This window comes from Homo sapiens, chromosome 12 (assembly GCF_000001405.40).
Source record: "Homo sapiens chromosome 12, GRCh38.p14 Primary Assembly".
In the NCBI taxonomy this organism is placed as follows: Eukaryota; Metazoa; Chordata; class Mammalia; order Primates; family Hominidae; genus Homo; species Homo sapiens.
The window spans coordinates 58665313-58690539 of record NC_000012.12 but is presented as its reverse complement, the minus strand read 5'-3'; the positions used below and the strand labels follow the sequence as shown (position 1 = coordinate 58690539).

The window sequence follows — 25227 nt, the reverse complement described above, 5'->3', positions numbered from 1 at the left end:
TAATATTCACCTCTGTAATGGATGAACAATATTTGATGGGTTTCAGTATTCTAAGGTATATTTTCGGATTGATATTGATGATATAAAAATCGATCTAATAGCAGTATATTAGTGAATGCCCCCCACATCTAATTATTTGTGAAATTTGGTCAATTCTATTTCAAAATTTCTCTCAGATTTTAGTCCCTTCTTTCAGATCCATTGTTTTCATCAACATTAATAAGACACTTTGCACAAAGCACCTTTTAAAACTTTTTGCCTATATTTAATTATGCCACCAGATTTGCTTCTGGCTATAAGTCTGAATATGGCACTCCACTCATTAATGTTTCTGTGGCAACCTATTACCTACAGCATAAAAGTATAGCCTCTATACACCCACAACTTTGCTTCAGTCTGTTCTATACCTTGCACCTTACACTATAGCAACACAAACATGATCTCCTTGTGTCACACTTGCTAGTACACAATGATTGTTACCAGTGCTGTTCCATTATTTCTAACTAGCATCCTCTTTCCTCCCACCCTCCAGGTCTAGCACACCACTACTTATTTTTGAAACTTGGAACAGATGCCTTCTTTGTCTCCTATGGGTAAAATCAGTCATTTCTTCATTCAGTTACTTGTACATATCCATGTCATGTCACTTTAAACAGACTTAATTAAATTATAATACACAGTACAGAGGTGTTATATAAAATTTATCATAGATCTTATATTTAGGGCTCTCAGTTTACATAAAAATATCAACAAAATACAGTTGGAATTGTGTAAGTTAAATGGGTACATTGAAGCAACCCTAAATAATTCTAGCAGATCAGCGGTTACTGCAGTGACCTCAGGCAACACTCACTAGGCCTATCTTAACTAGTAAGCCATATTGGTCTAAATTAATGGAAGTTTTGTTCAACAATTCAACAATTTGAATTTGAATTCAATAATTCATCAATTTGACTCTCATACAAGAAGGAATCTAAATAAAAACTAAGAGTCAGAAATAAATTTCATCAATGACATGTCCATGAATTTTAAATCTTTGAAAATTAGATTATTTCACAAAACACATTTTTCACTGTAATAAAAATTACTATTAATCTTTAATATTTAAATTTTTATTCCTCTACTTTCTTCTCACTTCTACTCTACTTTCCCAAATATAATAGATTTTCTTCACTTGCTTCCAAAAGGAATAAAATTATTTTTATATAGTGATCCCTGTGTTGATGTTTAAAATATATCCTGTGAAATGCTGAAAATTCAACTAAATTTGAAAAACATAAACTGATTTTCTACTTTTTGCCAAGTACTAAAGTGATATTCTTACTACGTTGGAAAACCGACAGTGTGATATAAGCAAAAGACTTTGGAATCCCAAGTCAGAAAACCTAGATTCAATCCCAGGTTTCAATATTATAAGCTTCATGAGCCCAAACTAGTCACTAGAATATAGTTTGAGAAAATTCTGTGTTTGTATAGTATATTCTTGGTAACTTCTCTATCTCGGGGAAAATTTGGTTGGAAACACAAAAATTCTTCACATTAATTTAAGTAAAAGAGTATGTATGATTCATAGTTCTGTAGAGGAAACAGAAACCTCTATAGGTATTTTAAACAGAAAGGGACTTAATACAGGAATTAAACACCTCTATAATCATTAAAAGGGCTAGAGGAGCTGTAATGAGGAGACTGCTACTGGCAACATTACGTGCATGAATATGAAGCTAGAGCTTTGATCCAGGGATCAGAAATATTTCACTAATACTTCAACTGCTTCTCGACACCTATGAAGGCAGTGACCAGACAGGGACTCACGGTTTGACCTCCATCCCAGCACCACACTGTTTCTCCATCCTAGCACCACACTGTTAATATACCTAGAGGTATATTAACCATACCTAGCCTGGAGAGTATGGAGTCAGTGAAGGAGTATATAAAGATGTACAGAGCCTTGTGGCATGAAAATGTAGCTGGACATATTCAGATAAAAACTGGAAAACTAGAAAGGGAGTCAGTGAGTAACCTTAGGATGCTCTGTTTCCCAAGAGCGCTGTATACGTATGTTTTCTCTCTCTCTCTCTTTCTCTCTCTCTCTCTCTTACTCTCTCTGCCCCTCTCTCCCCTCCCCACCACCCCCCAAGAGCTCTATAACATAAACAATCAAGGAAGGGTCTCACACGTCTCAGGTGTACAAAGCTCTGTAGTACATAGGACATGCTCAGTAGAAAGAAAAATATAAAGAAGTGAATACTTTCCCTCAGTTTCTTCATAAAGTGAAATATCTGCTCAATCCTTTCTGGGTTATAAGGATCAAATAAAATAATTAAAAAGGGCTTTTTAAAATGTTAATCTTTTGTATTAGATATGCATCCTTTTGTCATCAATTTAAAAATGTTAAAGCAGGAAAAAAGAAGAAAAGTATTATTTACAACAGCCTTTTTCTATACCCTTTGCTATGGTTTGTATAGATGCACTATCTGACACTGGGTCTCTGGTTCTCAGTAAATACTAATTGACTGTACATGTGTACTCATGTGTTTAGCAAACAGCATAAATGCATCCATCCATGAGATATTTTTATCATTGCTAACAAACCTTATTATTTTCTTTTGTGAAGTCATCTGATAATTGAATTTCCAACTGGGAAATCCAAGAGCAAACCCAAGTGTCTTTCTATGGAATGGCTACCATGACTAGTATATTCTGTTCATTCTCAATAAACTTCACTTTAATTTATTCTAGAAATATGATTCCAATAGTTTTATGGGACATTACACTATATATAAGATTATTGTCGCCATAAAGTTCTATACTTCTAACAGCACTAAATAGCAATAGGTTTTTGTGTAAAAATTGAAATCACTTTAAGACTATGTTCACTCATTCCATATCCTAAGTAAATTTTCCTAGGAAACAAATGAGAAAGGGAAAAGAAATAATATTTATTGGAGGACTACCTTGAACATTTTATATAATCACTGAATTCTGACATTTTATTTAATAGTAGGGCCTATGTCAAATAATTTAGGTAGTCTTTTTGTATTATAAATATTAAATCAGTATCTAGTATATGCCAGAAAATAATCTTGGAATATAATGATGAGCGAGGTAAATGTGCCCTGTGCACTCAAGGATCTTCAGCTAATTTATGAATAAAAATTCAGTTACAATGTGCTAAAAAAACGTGTTGATGGTATGCTATGGAAAAACACAATAAGAACTCTGAATTCAGCCTCTGGCCAACAAGACATTCTGGAGGAAGTGGCAGCAGAGCCAGGCACTGAGGATGAGCATGTCTGAAGCACAGAGAATGAGAGGCATGGTAGAAATGTATGAGACTTTTGTAAAATTTCATGAGATGCTACAGCATTCTGATTTAATGAAAAGAGAAATGGAAGACTTTAAGTCAAAAGGGATGTGATCATATTTGCATTATGGAAAGATCAAACTGGCTGTGTATGGGAATGAGCTGAAAACCTGCAAGCATGAAGGTGGGCAGGACACTTGGGAGAATGTCTCAGGAATAAAGGTGAAAGGTGATGTGGGCCCGTGCTAGGGCAGAGCCAGTGGGGACAGAAATAAAAAATATTTTAAATGTTTAAATGAAAGAATCTTGTGATTTGACAGCACAGTAAGAATGAGGGAGAGGTTATAAATGACACTTGTGTTTCTAGTTGGCCCGGACAAGTGGAAGGATGAGAGCACCATTCACTGAAATTGGAAAATAAGAAAAAAAATGGAATTTTGGAAGAGTTGATGTGAGTTTGTACCATTTTGAAGGTGAGGTGTTAGAAGGCATCTGGGTGAAGATTTCAATAGTACTTCTATTCCATGCTTTAAGTAGGTCTGGAAGGGAGATGATAGAAACCAGGAGTGAAAGAGATACCTGGGGAGAGTAGGTAGGGTGTCCCTAAGTGACACCAGTGCCTAAGAGACAGGTAGAGGAAAGAAGCTTCCTAGGGAAGAAGGCAGGGAGCATTCAGAGGGGAAGGAAAAGAAGATGGAAGAAAATGCTGGATCATGAAGCCAACAGAAAGGGATGTTTCAAGAAAGAGTGAGTGGCCAACAGTGTTAAATGCTACTAAAGGAATAAGTCCAATAAGCACTGGGAAGTGGCCAGTTCAGTTCAGTGCGGCACTGTAAGGAACGGAATATAGTGAGTTGGAAAATGCAGAAATGAGAAAAGGAGGGCAGTTAGTGTAGACAGACATTTCATGAAGTTTGACTGTAAAGGGTGTAGAATGCTAGTGTGATAGCTGCAAGAGGCATTAGATCGACAAAAGCTCTTTCTGGTTTTGTTTTGTTTTGTTTCGTTTTTCAAGATGAGAGAGACAAATAATTTTAAAAGCTGAAAGGGAAGAGCCAAAATAGCAGAAACAGAAAGGTAGAAAGGATAGGAGAGGAAGAAGATGCTCAAATGAGAAAGGTAGGAGAGGAACCAGAGCATAGATAAGGATGTATTATTGTCCTTAGAGCCATTTAATCATTAACTCAACAAATGTTTATTGACTATGTATGCATTTCTGAAAATACAGAATGAACTGAGATTCAGGTGGGAAAAAAGTAAATATGTTTGTGAAGGAAACGGTAAAAAACAGAGAAACTGGAGGTGGTAAAAATGGAATTTGTTATTAAACTGAAGTGAATTAACTTTGGGGAGGCATTGGATTTAATCGAATTTTCCAGATTAATCTCCTGAATTGTGCTTTATTTATAAGCTTTCCCTGAAATCATGTGTATGTTTTTATCATATTCTATGGCTGTCAAGTCTGAAGTCAGCTTGTTACCCCTAAAAGAGTGAATTAATCCGAAGTGTTTTCTTCTTGGCCTTACAAAGAGCGGTTCACTTGTCACAAGGCAGGACTTGTTAACTCAGCCAGATTTGTTTCTTAAGCATCTGCAGAGAGATGACCAAGATAATTCATTTTAAATCACCAAATATTACCAGACAGGAACAGTTTAAAAGGCAAAAAAAAAAAAAATAATGGGGAGGTCACACTCCCTGCACCTGATGTAGTCCAATGTTTCTTCATTCAATTGAATCAGAGTCTTTTTTGAATTTATCGGTTCATGCCGTGGAGGATAAGACCAAAATAGAGTGCCCTTGTACAAAGAAGGAAACCACACACAGCTTTTTATGCTTAAGAGGAAAGACTCTTGGGCAGAGGAAAATAATGTGTGCCAGCTTGTGTGCTTCTGCTGTTTAGGTCTGGACCTCCAAGGAATCAGACTGACAATTTCATGAAAGGTTCTGATTTAACTGCTCCTTTCAAAAACACTTCAAAGGGTGATGATGAGGGATACCAAGGGATAAAAGGTTTCTTTCAGGGCTGTGTTAATTTATTTTAGACCAAAGAACAAATATCCCAATAGAGAAGGCAGGTGATTCTATCTGTCTGATTGTAGTAACAAACCTTGTATAAAGACCAGGTCAGGAGGAGGCTGGAAGAAATTTTTAATCAATTGTTCACCAACTTGCCTACAAAGTAAGTCTCTTAAGTAACTAACTGGAATATGAGTGCTGATAGTTAAACCCAGAGAAAAGTCAATGTGCGCAAGGTCTGGAGAGGGAAATCAGGCAGATGAGAGACATTTAGTAACTTTGCTCACCAGGCTGCTAATAGCATCTCTGCAGATACAGAGGCAGAGACAGGCAGAGGCAAAGGAGAATGAAAGAGTATTTTGTCACAGTCAACCATCTCCAATCTAGTTAGAAAATGTACTTACTGGCTTTGAAGTTAGAATTTCAGAGTGTGGATTTCAACATGCCCCAGGTTGGGTTATCTGTGAGGCTGGCAGCAAGTAACTGCCTGCAAATTTCTATGTGTTTAAATGGAGGCAATTTCTCAAAAGTAAATTATGGAGTTGAAACCTTTAAATGAGATACTATAACACAAAGTACGTTGCAAACTAAAATGTTACACAAGGTAGAATTTTTTTAGTTATAGTTGTAGGACAAACATGCGATGGCATATTCAAATTTTAAGAGTAATATTTAAAAAGCAGTAGTAAAAATGTCACCAAAATATTTGAATGATGACAAGCATGAACTCAAACTGAAGGAAAACCAGACTTACAGAAAACATAGGCAGCAACCCAGAAGCTGAGGTTGCAATGCATTTTAAAAGATCAGGTAGAACAGTTAGAGGAGAAAAAACAATGGGAAACCATGTTCTTGTCCTGCATTCACCATTACTTGGTAAGCTGGTGATGCATTTCGAGAAAAAATCTAAAGCAAACTGCTGAGGCTCCTTGTACTTAAGTTGAGTTTTTGTTTTCAGGGGTAAAGATAATAAATCGTCCTTCTCCACTGTTTCTATTGTTACTTAGTTCAAGTACCTCCTTTACCTCACTTAACACCGAAATTATAAAAAGCTGTTTAGTTTCACTCATAATCAGGGTTATGCAAATTAATACCACACCATTTTCCACCCATCAAATCAACAAAAAGCAAATTTTAATGAATATATTGTGTTCACAATAATGTGAAGACACAGGCACGTCTATACGTTGCTGAGAAGTGTGGAAACCAGCCTTCAGTGCATGACAAATTGTCAAGATCTATCAAAAGTACAAGGTCATTGACTAAATAATTCCAGGACTAGGAATTTATTCTAGATTTTACAGATATGAGATGATGAAATGGCATGGACACAGAACTCTTCATTGCAGCATTACTTGTTATAGAAAAAGATTGGAAAAAAAATAGAATGTTTGTCTCTAGGAGTTGGAAAGATGAATTACAGAATATTAGTACAATGAAAACCAGCCACCTATGTGAAATAATAAAATCTGGAGGTATTGAAATAGAAAGGTCTACAAGATATATTGTAAGGTGAAAAACATTAAAGTGCAAAACACTGTGTTAAATAATCTACTATTTGTGAAAAAAGGGGAAGGTGATAATATATATTTATATTTTCATTTGTATATATTCTAAAATATCTAGAAGGTTACATGTAAAATTAATAATACTGCATCTTGGAGGGTCCTGTTTATGAACTGAACAATGGTGAAAAAGAGACTTCTTTTATACTTTTTGGTTTTTAAAACAAATGTATCATTGTTTTGAAATTTAAGTAACTAATTAATTTTTTAAAAAATTATTTGCATGGAAATCCATTTTCCTCACTAAATTATATACTATGCCTTCTTCATTTTCATAGTCTCATTGCTTAGACCAATGCATAGCACATAGCACCTGCTCAACAAATGTTTACTAAATAAACATGGAATAATAAAATATTGTAGATTAAACTTTCCTGAAGGAAGGGCAAACATCTTGCTCTAGCTCCAAGAATTTTTTATGTGACATTGTGGGACAGCAGAAAATAGCCTGAGAAGATAAGAAAGTGAGATGCAATGGAAAATCCTAATTCTAGATGTCATTCATTTTTCAGTTCTTTCCAGAGTTTTTCAGTGAAGGTTAGAGTGGTAGAGTGAGGAGCATAACTTCAAAATATACATTAAAGAAAGAGAGAGAAATAAACGAAGTTTCTAGTAGAAGCAGCTGCTTTGAAAATCATAATGATTTCTGGTAAACTATTCTGTTTTGTGGACTCCTGTTTTATAAGTAGTTATAGATTTTAAATTTTTACTTTATGTTTTTTAAAAATGTTTGATATTGTTTTCCAAATACATCTTCCTTGCCTCAGATTTAAAGTAGCCAGCCTGCATTTGCTCAGTTGAAGTATGAATGATTAGCACAAATGTTATATCCTGTGGCTTAGAGCACTGGTTCTCAATGTTGGCTGTATGTTGGATCCATAAGGAACTTTAAAAATAATATTGATGCCCAGGTCCCACCCCTAGAGAATCTGCTTTAATTGTTCTATAAAGTGGCACAAACATCAAGGTTCTTAAATATCCCCCAAGTGATTCTAATATGCAACAAAGATTAACAACTACTGGTTTATAGCTTCTCCAGCCTTTGTGTAGAGATAAACGATCTCCAAAATAAAATGAATATAGAACTTGTTATTTTGAATAATTAACTTATAGTAAAGATTGTAGAAATAAAGTGTCATATTCATTTTTTTTTCTTCTGAAGGGTAGCCTAGATTTCACTAACTTTACCTTCTTAATACAGGGGCTACATATTGTAACAAGGACCTACTGACTTCATATTAATGATCACAGGTAGTGGCAACACCAAAGGGCAGCTGTGAGGGTCTTCAGGTTGCCACTGCTGCTGTCACCACAAGTTTTCTCAATGTTGTCTGGGAAAGGCCATTGGGCCTGCTTGTAGGTGATTCACCCTTGTTTTCTCAATAACATCAAAATAGTTAGAGTAGAAAAAAAATTGGAAAAAATTCAGATGCCCACCCACAGAAAAATTGTGCTTTATATTATAGACACACATACACACATACACAAAAATAATAATTGACTGCAACTATATCTACAAATACAGATTAATCTTAGTAACATAAAACAGTATCAAGTGTAAAAAACAATTCCCAGAAGACTACATATAGCCTTAAGCCCTTTTTATAATTTTCTAAAACAAATAAAGCTAAATAATATATCGTTTAGACATATATATGTCATAAAAGTACAGGGGTGGAAAGCAAGACAATGCTAAGCATAAAATTCAAGCTGGCAGTGACCTCTGGGGAAGGAAGAAGGGAAGGACATAAGTAAACATGAGTCCTTGTTAGTGTTCTAGCTCTTGGTCTGGGTAATAGGTCTGTGGGTGTTCATCACATTATTAAAATAAGGACATTCAAAATGAACACACGAATAAGAAAGATGGGAATGAAACTTCTTTGTGGTAGAATCATGTAGGATTTGGTTAATATAAGTATGGTATCTTTGTAAGCTTTTACTTTGTGTACATATTTACTCTACTTTTAAATGTTTATATTGGTGGTAGAGTTTAATGTGCTAATAACTTTTTTGTTTCCAACTAACATACTCCCTGAGACTTAAATTGGGACTTAGTTTATGAGAAAACATTTTCAGTCCTTCAATCTGAAAAATCACTTTGATAATGAGTAAGTGACATGAAAATAACTCCTGGAATAACATTGAATTTTGGTGGATTCTGAAAAGTCTAAGAGTAAAACTGAGTTATTCACAAACAACTGTATAAGTGAAATATGACCCTCTAGACGTCTTCCTGGTCTTACTCTTTCAGCCACTTACCTGCCCCAGTAGAAGTAGCATAAAACTAATGAACATTACCCTTGTGTAGAGCTTTACAGTTTATAAGAAGAGTTTAATTTTATCTCCCATATTTATCATAACAACCCTGTGAAGAATGGAGAGCAAAGATTAGTTCAAAACATGAGTATAGATGATTCTTACAATATAAAACAATGATTCCAAAATGTGGCACGTACACCAATGATTGAACACAAGACAAATTTTCAAGTATGAACACACTGTTTATTATTTATGTTCATGCATACATTTTTAATAGCTGTATATTGCTTTTAATTTGCATTAATCTGTACCTACTATTTGTGGCAAATAATGCTTTTTTCACTTATAATAATGGCATAAAGTTGCCTTTAAAAATAAACTTATTTTAGGGAGGGCGATGCAAGATGTCTAACTAGAAGAATTCCATGCCTGCCTTCTCCACTTAGGAGAACCAGAATAGTGTATAGACAGTCACACTTCAAATACATTGTCCCAGAGACGACACTGGATTTCAACATAGAAGTGACAGGAAACACCAAAGTATAGAAGGAGAAGGGAAAACGGCAGCCTCCCTGACAGGGAGTGGCTGGGAGCCAGGAGTAATCTCCCGATGTAGGGGAAGTGTGAATGAGAGAATTTCAATGGCCCACATTCCTACCATGAAATCATGCAATCCTGCCCATGGGAGAGTCCCTCAACCCTTCCAAGCCCTGAAAGTAACATAGGGAGCTTCCAGGAGACCATGGGATGGAACTGCTCCAGGGAGGGATCTCGCACTGGGTCCCACGCGCTTTCTGAGACCTAAGCAGCTACAACAAGATGGTATTTTCAAGCCTACGCTCTGGTAAACAGCACACTGTCATGGGGCACAGTGTTGCCAGGACAAGGCATTGTGGATACTCAGGCTGTTGCTTCTGGGACAGAGAAGTGAGCTAGGAGCATTCCCACAGCTGAGCCTAAGAAACAAGGGAGGCATGGTCTGTAGAGGCCAGTATTGGGAAGTAAGTGCTGCTGGGATTTGAGACACAAATGTGAATAACACATGAGTTGTCAATGGGACTTAGTCAGGAGCTGGGTGAGGGCTCCTGCAATCAGGGCAGGGTGTGAGCTAGACACCAGCTACTGCTACCAGAGCAAGGGAGAACACCCTGTCAGTACCGGGGTATGAAAAGGATGACATTGCTTACCTGTCAGCCCAAGTTGTGGCCACCAAAGATGACCCCACTCTCTCCGGTGACACAGTCTTGGTGTGGCTGCTACTGACTCTCACCTGAGCACTCTACCTAGGGTCTAAGGATTGTTGTGCCCCCACTCACCACGGCTGGTGCCTGCTCTCACCACTGGGGGCCTAAAAAGAAGCCCATTCAGTTTGGCTTATATCCCACCTCTAAAACAGAGCACATAGCCCAGGGTTCTGTGGATTGTCCAACTCAGTTCACCACCTTGAATACCTGAGCCCTCATTCTGAGGGCCTGAGATTGGACCTAAACTCCTGGCTGCTACTATTTTAGCTAGCATCTACCTATAAACACCACCAATGGGCCTGGAGACTGACCCACTTAGCCCATTGTAGCCACTGTCAATATCAATGAACACTGCTCAGGACCCAAAGAATCATCCTGCCACTGCTTCTGCCATTGCCCATACTGACTTCCCAGGGGCCTGAGAACTTGCCCACCTGCCAGTTCCACTGCTGCCACTACTGGCATCTGGGCAAGCCAACTGGAAGTCCATTAATTGGCCTTATAATAACCACCAACACAGGTGTCAGAATATATTACCCTGGGCATACGTAGCCCACTGCTGCCACCACTGGGGTCTGAAGACTGGCCTAGCTGGCATACCAGTCCCCAACACAATTTTAGCACCGTTTCCACTAATAAACTCACCCTAACCCATCAAGGGAATCATGGATACCACTAACACAGTTTACGGCCAAATAAATCATACAGAGACTACACTACTACAAGCACTCAAAATCAAAGGCAAAGCCCCCTACCCATCCAAAACCATAGATACAATTTCAGGAAAAAGCCCCACCCCCACAACATACACACAAAAGTAAATTCAAAAATGAGAAGAAGTGAATGTTACACCTGATGTGGAAATATCAACATAAAGATACAGGAAGCATGAAAAACAAAAAAAGATACCTCCAAAGGAACACAATAATTCTCCTTCAATAGATCTTAATCAAAAAGAAATTTTTGAAAGCCCAGATAAACATTCAAAATATTGATTTTAAAGAAGCTCAGTGAGATACAAGAAAATTCTAAAAAGAAAAAAAAAAAGGATTCAAAGAAGTCAGAAAAATAATTCAGGACACAAATGGGAAATTTACCAAAGAGATATGATATTTTTAAAAAGAACCAAATAGAAATTCTGGAACTGAATAATTCACTGAAGGAAACACAAAATACGTTTGAAAGCTTCAACAGTAAACGAGATCAGGCAGCAAAAAGGAGTCTCAGAATTCAACACAGGTCTTTTGAAATAATCCAGTCAGACAAGAAATAAAGAAAAAATAATTTTAAAAAAGAGAAAAGCCTTCACAACATTAGGGAAAACATAAAGTGGCTGAATTTACAAATTATTGGTATCCCCAAGCACAAAGAAAGGATTAGAAAACCTATTTAACAAAGTAATGATGAAAACTCTCAAGATCTAGCAAGACATAGAGACATTCAGATATAGGAGACACAATGATCCCTAGGAAGATACAGTGCAAAAAAGGTCTTCTCAACAAGGCATTATAATCAGACTCTCTAAAGTCAAAGATAAGAGTGAATCCTAAAAATAGCAAGAAAAAAGCATGTAGCTACCTATAAAGGAAACCCCATCAAACTAACAGTAGATTTTTCAGCAGAAACCTTACAGGCCAGAAGAGAACGGGATAATATATTCAAAGTGCTGAAAGAAAAAAAAAAGTGCCACCCAAGAACACTATATCCAGCAAAATTATCCTTCATAAATTAAGGAGAAATAAAGCCATTCCCAGACAAGAAAATGCTGAATGAATTTGTTAACACTAGACCAGACCTAAAAGAAATGCTTGAGGAATCCTAAACTGGAAACAAAAGGACACTATTTACCACATGAAAACACATGAAATTATAAGACTCACTGGTAAATCAATCACAAAAAAAGAGGAAGACAAAGGACTCAAATGGTACCAATATAGAAATTCACCAAACCACAACGACAAACAATAAAAGAAAAAGAATGGGAGAAAATTTTTGCAACCTACTTATCTGACAAAGGGCTAATATCCAGAATCTACAATGAACTCAAACAAATTCACAAGAAAAAAACAACCAACCCCATCAACAAGTGGGCGAAGGATGTGAACAGACACTTCTCAAAAGAAGACATTGATGCAGCCAAAAAACACATGAAAAAATGCTCATCATCACTGGCCATCAGAGAAATGCAAATCAAAACCACAATGAGATACCATCTCACACCAGTTAGAATGGCGATCATTAAAAAGTCAGGAAACAACAGGTGTTGGAGAGGATGTGGAGAAATAGGAACACTTTTACACTGTTGGTGGGACTGTAAACTAGTTCAACTCTAGTGGAAGTCAGTGTGGCAATTCCTCAGGGATCTAGAACTAGAAATACCATTTGACCCAGCCATCCTATTACTGGGTATATACCCAAAGGATTATAAATCATGCTGCTATAAAGACGCATGCACACGTATGTTTATTGTGGCATTATTCACAATAGCAAAGACTTGGAACCAACCCAAATGGCCAACAATGATAGACTGGATTAAGAAAATGTGGCACATATACACCATGGAATACTATGCAGCCATAAAAAATGAAGAGTTCATGTCCTTTGTAGGGACATGGATGAAGCTGGAAACCATCATTCTCAGCAAACTATCGCAAGGACAAAAAACCAAACACTGCATGTTCTCACTCATAGGTGGGAATTGAACAATGAGAACACATGGACACAGGAAGGGGAATATCACACACCAGGGACTGTTGTGGGGTGGGGGGAGGGGGGAGGGATAGCATTAGGAGATATACCTAATGCTAAATGACGAGTTAATGGGTGCAGCACAACAACATGGCACATGTATACATATGTAACAAACCTGCACATTGTGCACATGTACCCCAAAACTTAAAGTATAATAATAATAAAATTTTAAAAAGAAGAAAAAGAAAGCAACAAAGAATACATAAAACAATTAACAATATGACAGGAATAAAACCTCATATATCAATAATGACCTTAAATGTAAAGGGATTATATTCTCCATTTAAAACATATGGAATGGCTGAATGCATTGAAAATTGTGATCCAAAAATATGCTACTTACAAGAAACTCATCTCATCTGTAAAGACACATATAGACTGAAGGTAAAGGAATAGAAAGATATTACAGGCAAATGAAAGATATTACATGCAAATGGAAATCAAAAGTGAACAGAAGTAGGTATACTTATATCAGGTAATACAGACTAAGTCAAGAACAATAAAAAAAAGACAAAGAAGGTCATTACATAATAAAAAGTGATCAATCCAGAAAGAGGGTATAACAATTCTAAATATATATGCACCAACACTGCAACATTCAGATTCATACACAAATGTTATTAGATCTAAAAAGAGAGATAGACTTCAATACAATAATAGTGAGGGACTTTAATACTTCACTCTCTGCATTTGACAGTGCATCTAGAAGAAAATTAAATAATAAAAAAAAACACTGAATTTTAGACCAAATGGACCTAACGGACATTTACAGCACATTCTATCCAACAGCTGCAGATGATACATTCTTATCACCAGCACATAGAACATGTATCCCAGAACTTAAAGTAAAAAATAAAAAATACAAAAATAAATAAATAAATAGGCAAAACAAAAAGATGTTGGTGAGGAAGAGGAGCAAAGATAACTCTCGTATACTGCTGGTGGGAATGTAAACTAGTATAGCCATCATAGAAAACTGTATGGAGGTTGCTCAAAAAAACTAAAAATAGAATTACTCTTCAATCTAGCAATGCCACTACCATGTATCTACCCACAGAAAAATCAATATATCATAGAGATATTTGTACTCACATGTTTATTGCAGCACTATTCAGAATAGCAAAAATATTGAATCAACTTAAATGTTCATCAACTGATGAATGGATAAAGAAAATGTAGCATGTGTACACAGTGAAATACTTTTCAGGCATATAAAAGAATGAAATCATGTCATTTAAAGTAACATGGATGGAAGTAGAGGTCATTATCTTAAGTAAAATAAGCCAGGCACAAAAAGATATCACATATTCTCGCTTATATGAGGAAGCTAAAAAGTTTGGACACATGGAGGTAGAAGGTGGAAAGATAAATAACAGAGACTGGGAAGGGTGAGTGAGGGGACAGGGAAGAATGAAGAGAAGTAGGTTAAAGGGTATAAATGTGTAATATGATAGAAAAAATAAATCCAATGCTAGATAGCAGAGTAGGATGACTATAGTTAAAAAAAATGCATTATGCTCAAGTGATGGACACCCTGAATACCCTGATTTGATTATTACACATTATATACATGTAAAAAATTTCCCATGTACCCTGTAAATATGCACAAATAAAAAACTATTTAAATTAAATTTATTTTCCTAAAAATGTTTATCTAAAGAAAATTCTTAGATAACAGCACAGCCATTATTTAGAGCAGACTAAGGTTATAAAGGTGGTATGTGAATAACTGAAATACTCATCCTGTTAAACAATATTCAAGATTGTATTACTATCCCTCAAAAAGGAAATATACATGTTTCAAGCTCACTTACAATTAAATTAATTAGACAATTTGTTTATAGAGGAATAATTACTGTTTCTCCTATGTTTCACCTTGAGGGCTAGGTACTAGAGAAATAATAGTGAAAAGTGCATAGTCTATATCCTTATCAAACTTTCAGTCAAAAGAAAACTTCAAGAAGATGAGTAGGTGATTTGTGAGTCAATAGAGAAGTAAAAACATGGTCATATTAGGGGAGGTAACGCATTCTTTAAGTACTAGCCAAAGCTTCCTAAAGGAGCCAACATCTAAACTGAAGGATGTATAAGAATAAGCCAAGGCCAGGCATGGTGGCTCACGCCTTAATCCCAGCACTTTAGGAGGCCAAGGCAGGCGGATCACGAGGTCAGGAGATCGAGACCATCCTGGCTAACACGGTGAAACCCTGTCTCTACTAAAAATACACAAAATTAGCCAGGCGTGGTGGCGGGCGCCTGTAGTCCCAGCTACTCAGGAGGCTGAGGCAGGAGAATGATGTGAAGCTTGCAGTGAGCCAAGATCGCGCCACTGCACTCCAGCCTGGGCAACACAGCAAGACTCCATCTCAAAAAAAAAAAAAAAAAAAGAATAAGCCAAGACAGGCCGGGCGAGGTGGCTCACGCCTGTAATCCCAGCACTTTGGGAGGCCCAGGCGGGTGGATCAGGAGGTCAGGAGATCAAGACCATCCTGGCTAACACAGTGAAACCCCCTCTCCACTAAAAATACAAAAAAAAAATTAGCCGGGCATGGTAGCAGGAGCCTATAGTCCCGGCTACTCAGGAGGCTGAGGCAGGAGAATGGCATGAATCCTGGAGGCAGAGCTTACAGTGAGCCGAGATTGTGCCACTGCACTCCAGCCTTGGTGACAGAGCGAGACTCTGTCTCAAAAAAATAAAAAAAAAAAAAAAGAAGAAGCCAAGACAAGGGGTATTCTGGGAGGAAGAAAGAGCATGTTCATATACCTGGAGAACAGAGAACATAAGGCATTCAGTGGGCTCCAAGTAGATTGGAAAGACAGGTCTAAACATAGAGAGGGAGTTGGGGGTGCCAGGAAACGAGCCTCAAGAGAAAACGCAAGTAACAGATCATGAAGGGACTTGTCCCTGTAGATCAGAGCATTTGCTGGAAAGCAACAGAAAAGAACCTGGATTACACAAAAGATTTTTTGGAAGACTATCAGAGGGAGGCAGTGCATTGTATCCCACTGGTAGCATTTACTGGTGAATTTCCCAAAATAAAATAGATCAGATGTAGATATAAATAAACAAGACAAAAATTAATAAGAATAGAATATTCTAAGGAATTTGAATTTTATTTTGTGGGCAACTAATAGTAATAAGGAGAATCGACATGTTCAGATTTGCATTTTAGATAGATGAGTTTTGCAGTAGTGGGAGTAAATTGAAGTTAGGGAGAGGATATCGAGAGCTGTTACAGTGACATAATTGACAGATGATGGTGACCTAAGTAAGGATAGTGCAGTGGAGAAATAAGAGAATGGGAAAGAATACATTTGAGAGCCAGGTTTGATCACAATGGTAGCAGATTTGCATTTCTGGACATTAAAAAGCCATGGCTTTAGTGGCTTGGCTTTCATGAGCAGGAGAAGAAAAATCTCAAAAGCGGGTGGAGATAGGGAGTGGAGAGGTAGCTCTTCCCTCCTCCTGAATATTTCTGTGTGGTCCCAGAGTCCACAAAACAGAATTATCCATTACCCCCACTTTAAATACTGTAAAAGCTGCCTGTTTTATTTTCAAACACCTCCTGTTTGGCCATAACACCTAACCTTGACTGTCCCCATAATGGGATGTAAATTTATTAACACCCTTTAGTCAGTTGCCTGCAACTATATGTTTTGGCTGCCTCCCAAGTCTTTAATTCCTTTATTGAAGCATTTCATGATGGTTGTTGCTTCTCCTTAAAAGCTTTTTTGCAATCGCTGAGTTTTTAAAATCCTATCTGTTTTTCTCCTATCCTGTCTTTCATTAAAATTGATTTTCTCAGCTTCTCACATATTTCTATATGAGGCAAAGAATTTTAGATAGATACCACAACCTAAGCATCAGAGGTAGAGATGGAGGACAACTAAGATCTAAGTAATGTTATTTTAATTGCAATTTAAAGCCAAAAGGCAAAGACTTAGTAAAGAGCTGTTTTCATTACAGTTGTTCCATGCATGAAATGAACCATTACACATTGGAAAAGAAGAAATTATTCCAGAGTGGCTTAGTTATAACAAACAAAATGAGTTCCAACAAGCTGTTTTTAGTCCCATGGCCAAAAAATGCATTCTGTTGGTATTTTTTCTAATGTGACATTATATTTTGAAATGTTATTTCATGTTATACTCTCTTTATATAACATATTTGCATTGAATAATGAGAGAAATGACCAGCTGGTCTCTAGCAATTATAAAAACCTTTATTGGAGGCAGCAGGATGATGGCAGATGGCAATTTTAGGTTGAAGTCTCACTAAGAATAGATTTGTAGCATCTTGTTGATGTGGAATATAGTACAACCTTTCTCTGAGTCTATAAGCAGGATGGTAGGGTGGTTTATTGAGATACTAATTTGCATTTTGATCTCACTGTATTTTTTTCTTCCCTCATTAAAATAGTAAAAGCTTTTGGGTTCAGTGTATTTGAGTTCCAAAGCCGAAGAAAGATGTGTTCAAAGATAATGCCTCTTATCAACTTTTGGTTTTGAAAGCCTGAATTGATTAAGGAGGTAATAGGCCAATGAGAGGAGGAAAGGAGAAAGAAGGTCTTTGGGGTTGAACAGCAGGAAGAACAATTCCATATCTTTAATAAGGCAAATTCTGCAAGCCTGGGGAAAGGAAGGTGGTACTTGATGGAGTAGCAAGATTGACCCTGGCTCATTTGCAAGCTGTGTCATGCATCTTGAAAGACTGTACCAACCATCAAGACCCTCACTCTGCCCCTAGGTTTGGTACAGGTATAGCCACACCACCTAGATCTATGGGGCCATCAACTAAAAGTAGACATTTTGAGGTGAAAAAAAGAAAAAAGAAAAAAGAAAGGGACCATTGATAAGGTGAGTCATCTGTTTTCATAATGATCATAAACATTTGAGTAATAAACTCTGTGATCATATTGAAGACAAGAAACTCTAATCTTTCAGAGACTATATAGACCCCTATTCTCTCATGTGACCTCGGAAGTACAGGGCCTTGACCATCCCCTTCTCAGCTCCATATTCTATGATGGGTAATAAATTTCCCTCAAGAATGGAGATTTGGAATCTGTTTTAAAATGATATAGAATGATAATGTAATATATCTTGCATTGGCAAGTAACGAAGTAAAATGTAAACCCTTTGCAAATGTAAGATGCCACGTTATTTAAGGTAGAATAATATAAAAGAAAGGGTCTTGAAGATATAATTCCAGATCACTCTGTACTTTATTATAATATGTATTAGAAGATAAGAGCAGTAGAAAAGCACAGACTTTGGTGGGGGGAAGGGAAAAGAACTGATTCCTGAAACATAGATTTATGTCTTTAATTGGCAACCCAGCACTATATTACAATCAGTGTTCCTGAAATCAAGGGGTTAATTTGATCAGGTCCACCTGCCCTGCTTGCTTTTGGTCACTTAACTTTTTTCCTTTTTCCATGAAGACGAAGGTCCTGGTAGCTGAAGGCTACTGCTAAACACTGAAACTTAACCTTCACTGGCTACTTTATAGATAACATTCATGTGTCATCATGGTAATGGTCATTTCAGTAGTTTTTCAGGAACTGGACCCAACTCCTGTCCGGTTCAAACCTGTTGAGACCACTAACTCTTCAAATGGGCCTGAACAAGTGCCCAAGAAGGGGGCTTTTGACATCAGAGAGCCAAAAACTCCACCCTCAGATCATGCTAATGCTGCCATTTTCTGTACATGTATTTTATGGAATGCCATGAACCCTGATTGTGCCTGCACAGAAGGGACCTGTTATTTCACTGTTCCTCACTGCCAGTCACCTTTCCCCATACCTTAGACCACTCCACTTCCCTAACCCATAAATATCTGTAAGACTTATATTTGGAGAGGTGGACATGAGAGTTGTTCTCCCACCTCCTCACTTGGCAGCCTTGCGAATAAAACTTTTCTCTTTTGTAAAACCTGTGTCACAGTGATTGATTACTCAGAATGGACTCAGACCTGGCTGGTACATTCCTAGGAACGTTTTCATTTCTGTCCTGCGTCCTTCATCTGGAGATAAGGGTAAACCCCAGTGCTTCAGAGCCCAGGGTCATTGTCTTTCACCACTCAAGCTTGCACCTAATCTTCCCCTTCACCAGACTAAATGATCCCAGTTCCAATAGTTTAAGCTCCCAAAGTCTAGTTCCAAGGGTTTTGTTCTCCTCTTTGCACTCATTAAAGGCATTTCTGCTTTCATATTTCATCATCTATTTGTGCCTAAGATCATTAAAGGTCATGTGGTATAAGGGCAAAAACCAGGCGGCTGTCTAAAAGTCAAAGCCATACAGGATTTTCAGAGGCAGCTTGAGCTGGTTCATGTCCAGGCTCTGCTACATCCTATCTGTGTGATTCTGGGCCAGTTCTCTAAACTTTTCATATCTCAGTGTCCTCATTTATATTAATCATACTGTCTATTTTCTTTATCTTATGATGTTTTGACATCTTGAGGTGGGGATAGGGCAGGACTTACAGATGTGGGAGAGATGGCCCCTACCAGGGCTAGTTAATCCCTAAAAATAGTAAACAACTCACTTGGGAGCACACCTTTCACATGCAAAGCAACTAACGCAGAGTCTGCCTCCCCACCCACTCTCTTCATCTAACTCCCAGACACTAAGCCAATATTCCTCCTGTGCTAAATCATCCCAGGGCCAGATACTAGGCAGCAAAAAATTACTCCTACAGCCCAGAACCCACCAGAATTATTCAAACTAACCAAGCTTACACTCTTGACTCTGCCCTGCCTTGCCTTTCTTGCAGAAACCCAGTTAAGACTCTGGTAGGCTTTCTCCTCACTCCTGCCTCTGCCTCCTCATCCAGTCTGGCTCTTCTCCTGTGGCCCTGTGTAGTGAGGCATGCCCCCTTCTCTTGAGAAATGTAAGTAATATATATAGATTTTTTATGGCATTGACCTATGTCAATCACTCAGTCACCTCCATAAATTAAAATCCGATGGGTACAAATGAGACATTGAAAATTCAGGATGATTGTAATAGTAGGTTGTCAGAAGGATTAAAAGACCCAACAATGTATGTACATATAAGTCCTATGAACAGCACTCTGCACAATAAGTGCTTAGCTGCCTATTATCTTTAATAATCTTTAAGAAACAACTGTTGAGAACAAAATCTCCTCACCTCACTTCTTCAGTTTCTTCATTGGTTAAGAGGTATATGATCACAGTATGCCAACAGCAAATGAATAACTTGACTATTAATGTTGACTTAAAAAGAAAAATAAAGGGGCTACCTGGGTGTGGTGGTTCACACCTATAATCCCAGCACTTTGGGAGGCTGAGGCGGGCAGATCACTTGAGGTCAGGAGTTCAAGACCAGCCTGGGCAACATGGAGAAACCCTGATTCTACTAAAGATACAAAAAATTAGCTGGGTGTAGTGGTGCACACCTGTAATCCCAGCTACTCAGGAGGCTGAGGCACAGGAATCACTTAAACTTGGGAAGCAGAGGTTGCAGTGAGATGAGATCATGCCACTGTACTCCAGCCTGGGCGACAGAGTGAGACTGTGTCTCCAACAATAAATAAATAAATAAATAAATAAATAAATAAATAAATAAAGGGACTATATTCATACACAGTATTACTTTAGAAGATTCCAACAATAACTGTTGCACTATAACCTGTAAAAACATGTTGCTGTTAGGGCAATCTTATTGATCTAATAATATTGATAAATAACTTCTTTAAATGACTGGATTAAGGCAATTTAACGTTAGTCATTTTTACCTTCTGGAACATTGTTCAAACTAGACAGGGGACTCGACAGTTCCCAGGGGACTCCCAGCTGCTGCTAAATCCCAATCTTCTCTTACTGGGAAGGAAAGGATTATGAAGCAAACCTGCTCACAGTGGAAATGACTGTCACATCATCTTTGTGTTCTTGAGAAGGCTCAGCCACATTTCTGAACAATTTCTACATTACAACAACATTTTTTTAACCTGTTTTCTCATGTTCAGTATGAACCAGAAACTCCTGTCTAGGGCACTACACTCAAAAGCCACTCTTGACTGTGATCTCTGTCTAAACTTGAGCCCTGACATAGACATCGTGGTCCTATTCACCTTCTGCAACTATCTCAAACCTTTAGATTAAAGTGATATAAGACATGACTATAGTAGGGGATTTATGAAAGGATTGACAAATAAGGAAAAGGCTTTTCTGCTAAGATAGTAACAGTGACCCAAAACTTTTCATGTTAACACACAGATGCTCATTCATTTGCCCCACAGCTGTGGTAGAAGGGAGGTGGTTACAAAAACATAAAAGCAAAGATTCTTGAGAATTTAGTAAGCATCAGAATGACCTGGAGGGCTTATTAAAATGCAGACTGGGTGAATTCCACTTCTGGAAAGATGGAACGGAAATGCTTTTCACTCTTTCTCCCACTGAGTAGTAAACTAAAAGCCTTGGACATTTATGTCTATCTATCAATCACATAAGACAACTCTGAAAGGTCAAGAGAAAAAGTCAGATGGACAAAAGCCTTGAGACCTGAGGAACCACTCAAGATAGTGAGTTCCCTAGGTTTTCTTTTTGCCTCATATATCCCAGACATGGAATGGAAGAAAACAGCAACCAGGAAATGCCAATGGTCTCAGACAAAAAAAAAAAAAAAAAAAAACCAAAAAAAAAAAACCACCAACCAAAGGACCAGGAAAGCGGCAGCCTAGCAAGGCAGAAAACTTTCTGAAAATACAAACTTCACTCCAGCTAAGCACCACAGAAACAAATGGTAGCCTCACCTTCACTGGCCAGCAAAGTTGGAGCGAGGAGCCTAGACATCCATCCTAGTGAGGCTGTCAGGAGACATCCCAACCCCACTGCCGGGTGATGTAAAAGAAGACCTAGTAGGGAGCCAGGACTTTCTTACCCTCCAATCAGTAATGAGTCCTCATCCCATGTTAATGGAGATCACATGGGAATCCTGGACTTCCCCCAACACCTGGCTATAATAATGAGGCACCCTTCCCTTTCCTGCCTGAGGTGGTATCAGAGGAGGCCTAGTGTACAGTCAGGACTTTCACCTATTACCCAGCAGTAATAAGGCCATCCTCACCACAGTATAGTGGAGATCACATAGTCTCCCACCCCTACACGGTGCTAAGGAACCCTCTTCTTTGAATGCAGGCCAGGTGGAGAATCTGGTCTTCTATTTCCACTTTGTAGAAACAAGGTGATACACCACCTCCTTATTCCCCTGCCAGAGCAGTATCAGAGAAAGCCAACTAAACCAGAATTTTAAATAAGATCTGGAGTCTCATAACACAATTTTTTAAAAGTTCAAGTTTCAATTGAAAATCACTCATCATATCAAGAATCGGGAAGATTTCCAACTGAATGAAGAAAAAGACAACCAGTAGATGCTAACATCAATATGACTGACATATTAGAAAGATTTTAAAGAAACCATCATAAAAATGTTTCCATGAGCAATTAAGAATATGCTTGAAGAAATAGAAAATGAAAAAATAGAAAGCCTCAGCAAGAAAATAGAAACTCTCAGAAAAAAAAACATAGAAACTCTCAGCAAAATAATAAAGGAATAAAGAAAAAAACAAATGGAAATTTTAGAAATGAAAAATATAGTAACTCAAATAGAAAATCTCAATGGATGGGATCAACAGCAGATGTAGGAGGCAGAGGAAAGAGTCAGTGAACTGAAAGAACAAGCGAAATAACCCAATCCGAACAACAGAAAGAAATCTAAAAATAAAAAAAAAAAACAGAACCTCAGAAACCATGAAACTATAACAAAAGATCTAACTTTTCGATTATCGGAGTCCTAGAGGAGAGAAAAAAAGAGGGTGGAACTGAAATGGTACTCAAAGAAATAATACCTGGAAACTCCCCAAATTTGGTAAGAATCTCAAACAAGATAAACCCAAAGAAATTCATACCAAAATACATTATAATTAAACTTATAAAAGCAAAAGACAACTATCTTGATAACAGCCAGAGAAAAACACCTACCTAGAGGAAAGAGTAATTCAAATAACTGCAGATTGCTCATCAGAAACCATGGAGTTCAGAAGGAAGTGGCACAATGTTTTCCAGGTGTTGAAAATAAAAGGAATGTAAACCCAGAATCCTGTGCCCAGAGAAGATATCTGTCAGGAATGAAGGAGAAAATCCAGACATTCTCAGATGAAGACAAACTAAGAGAATTTAGTTCTAACAGACTACAAAGAATGACTAAAGGAAGTTCTCTAAAAAAGCAAATAATAAAAGAAGAAACCTTGGAACATCAGAAAGGAAGAAAAAACATGGTAAGCCAAAGTATGAATAAACACAATAGACTTCTTGTCATCTTGAGATTTCTAAATTATGTTTGCTGCTTGAAGCAAAAATTGTAACACTGTCTGTGTTATAGAGGTGACTCTAAGTGCATAGACAATGCCTAAGATAATTCTTTTATATACAGGGAAAGGAAAAGGACTAAAAGTGAGGCTGGGCGTGCTGGCTCACACCTGTAATCCCAGCACTTTGGGAGGCCAAGGCGGGTGGATAATCTGAGGTCAGGAGTTCGAGACCAGCCTGGCGAACACGGTGAAACCCCATCTCTACTAAAAACACAAAAAATTAGCCAGGCGTGATGGCAGGCGCCTGTAGTCCTAGTTACTCGGGAGGCTGAGGCAGGAGAATGAAATGAACCCGGGGGGCAGAGCTTGCAGTGAGTGGAGATCACGCCACTGCACTCCAGCCTAGGTGGCAGAGCGAGACTCTGTCTCAAAAAAAAAAAAAAAAAAAAAAATCAAATTGCTAGGTCCCACCTTCAGAGTTTTTGATTCAGTAAGTCTAAGGTAGTACCAGATAATCTGCATTTGTTTTTTTTTCAGTTTCAAAAATGTGCTTTATTTATTTTAATTATAATTTAAGTTCTGAGATACATGTGCAGAACACGCAGGTTTGTTACATAGGTATACATGTGCCATGGTGGTTTGCTGCACCCATCAACCCGTCATCTAGGTTTTAAGCCCCGCATGCATTAGGTATTTGTCCTAATGCTCTCCCTCCCCTTTCCCCCGATCCCTGACAGGCCCCGGTGTGTGATGTTCCCCTCCCTGTGTCCATGTGTTCTCATTGTTCAATTCCCACTTATGAGTGAGAACATGCGGGGTTTGGTTTTCTGTTCCTGTGTTAGTTTGCTGAGAATGATGGCTTGGGCAAAAAATAGGAACAGACACTTCTCAAAAGAAGACATTTATGCGGCCAACAAACATGATAATCCGCATTTCTGAAAAATCTCCAGCTGATGCCAATACTGCTGGTTAGGCCCACACTTTGAGAACCATGGTCCTAGAGAAAGAGGGATTTTGATACCAGGGAAAAGCTTAAAAGAGGCATTTATACCCAGCATCTCTTTTATCCTATCAAAAACCAAAATGACAATGTAAATAGCCCCTTTCTAGGGTGCTAGGTCCAGAAGCAAGAGAAAGAAGAGGGACCCAAAAAGGACTGGAAAGAAACCAGCCTTAAGCCTAGGCCTGTTGTAACTTTAAGACCAATGTGGAGAGTGACCAGAGACGTCAGTGACCCTGTGGTCACGGTAGTGCTTTTAATACAGTGGTCCCTAATCCTGGCTTGAAACTAGAAACACTATGATAAAAATACGGCTTTCTGGACCCTACCTCAGAAGCAATGAAATCAGAATCTCTTCTTAGGGGCTGGGAGAGACACAATTCTATACTTTTCACCAAGCTTGTGAGTTAAGGTATGCATACTTAAGTTGGAGAAACACCAGGGGGCTGGAGACTTCTGATACAGTTAAGTAAGAATAACCCAGGAAGGAGAACAGAGAAAGCTGCCAGCCTAGACCAGTATAGAGTACCAGGGGCTCTCGGTAAGAGGCAACACTTCTCCTGCCTCCCAGATCAAGGGGCTTCTCCTCCAGCACCCTTATTAGCTACTTATTTTGGAGCACCTGCTCTGTATCAGGCAGGGCACCTGGTACATTGTAGACTCTAATTTGATCCTCACAACAGTCCTACATAACAGCTATTATTATCCTTATTTTATATATGAGAAACTCAAGGTTCAGAAAAGTTCACAGCTGA

The 25227-nt window shown here is 38.0% G+C and overlaps 2 long non-coding RNA genes across 2 annotated transcripts in view, besides 1 other annotated feature; one reads left to right on the top strand and one right to left on the bottom strand.

Moving 5' to 3' along the window:
• LINC02388 (long intergenic non-protein coding RNA 2388) overlaps positions 1-25227 on the top strand; it is a 215758-nt gene that overhangs the window by 91177 nt on the left and 99354 nt on the right. The window lies entirely within an intron of this gene.
• Positions 1-25227, bottom strand: part of LOC100506869 (uncharacterized) — a 220968-nt gene that overhangs the window by 122130 nt on the left and 73611 nt on the right. The window lies entirely within an intron of this gene.
• Positions 19559-19853: a silencer, noted in NCBI's record as "tiled region #8919; HepG2 Repressive non-DNase unmatched - State 24:Quies". NCBI's record gives its function as "represses a minimal TATA promoter and a strong SV40 promoter by Sharpr-MPRA in HepG2 cells {active_cell/tissue: HepG2}" and the evidence as "EXISTENCE:reporter gene assay evidence [ECO:0000049][PMID:27701403]".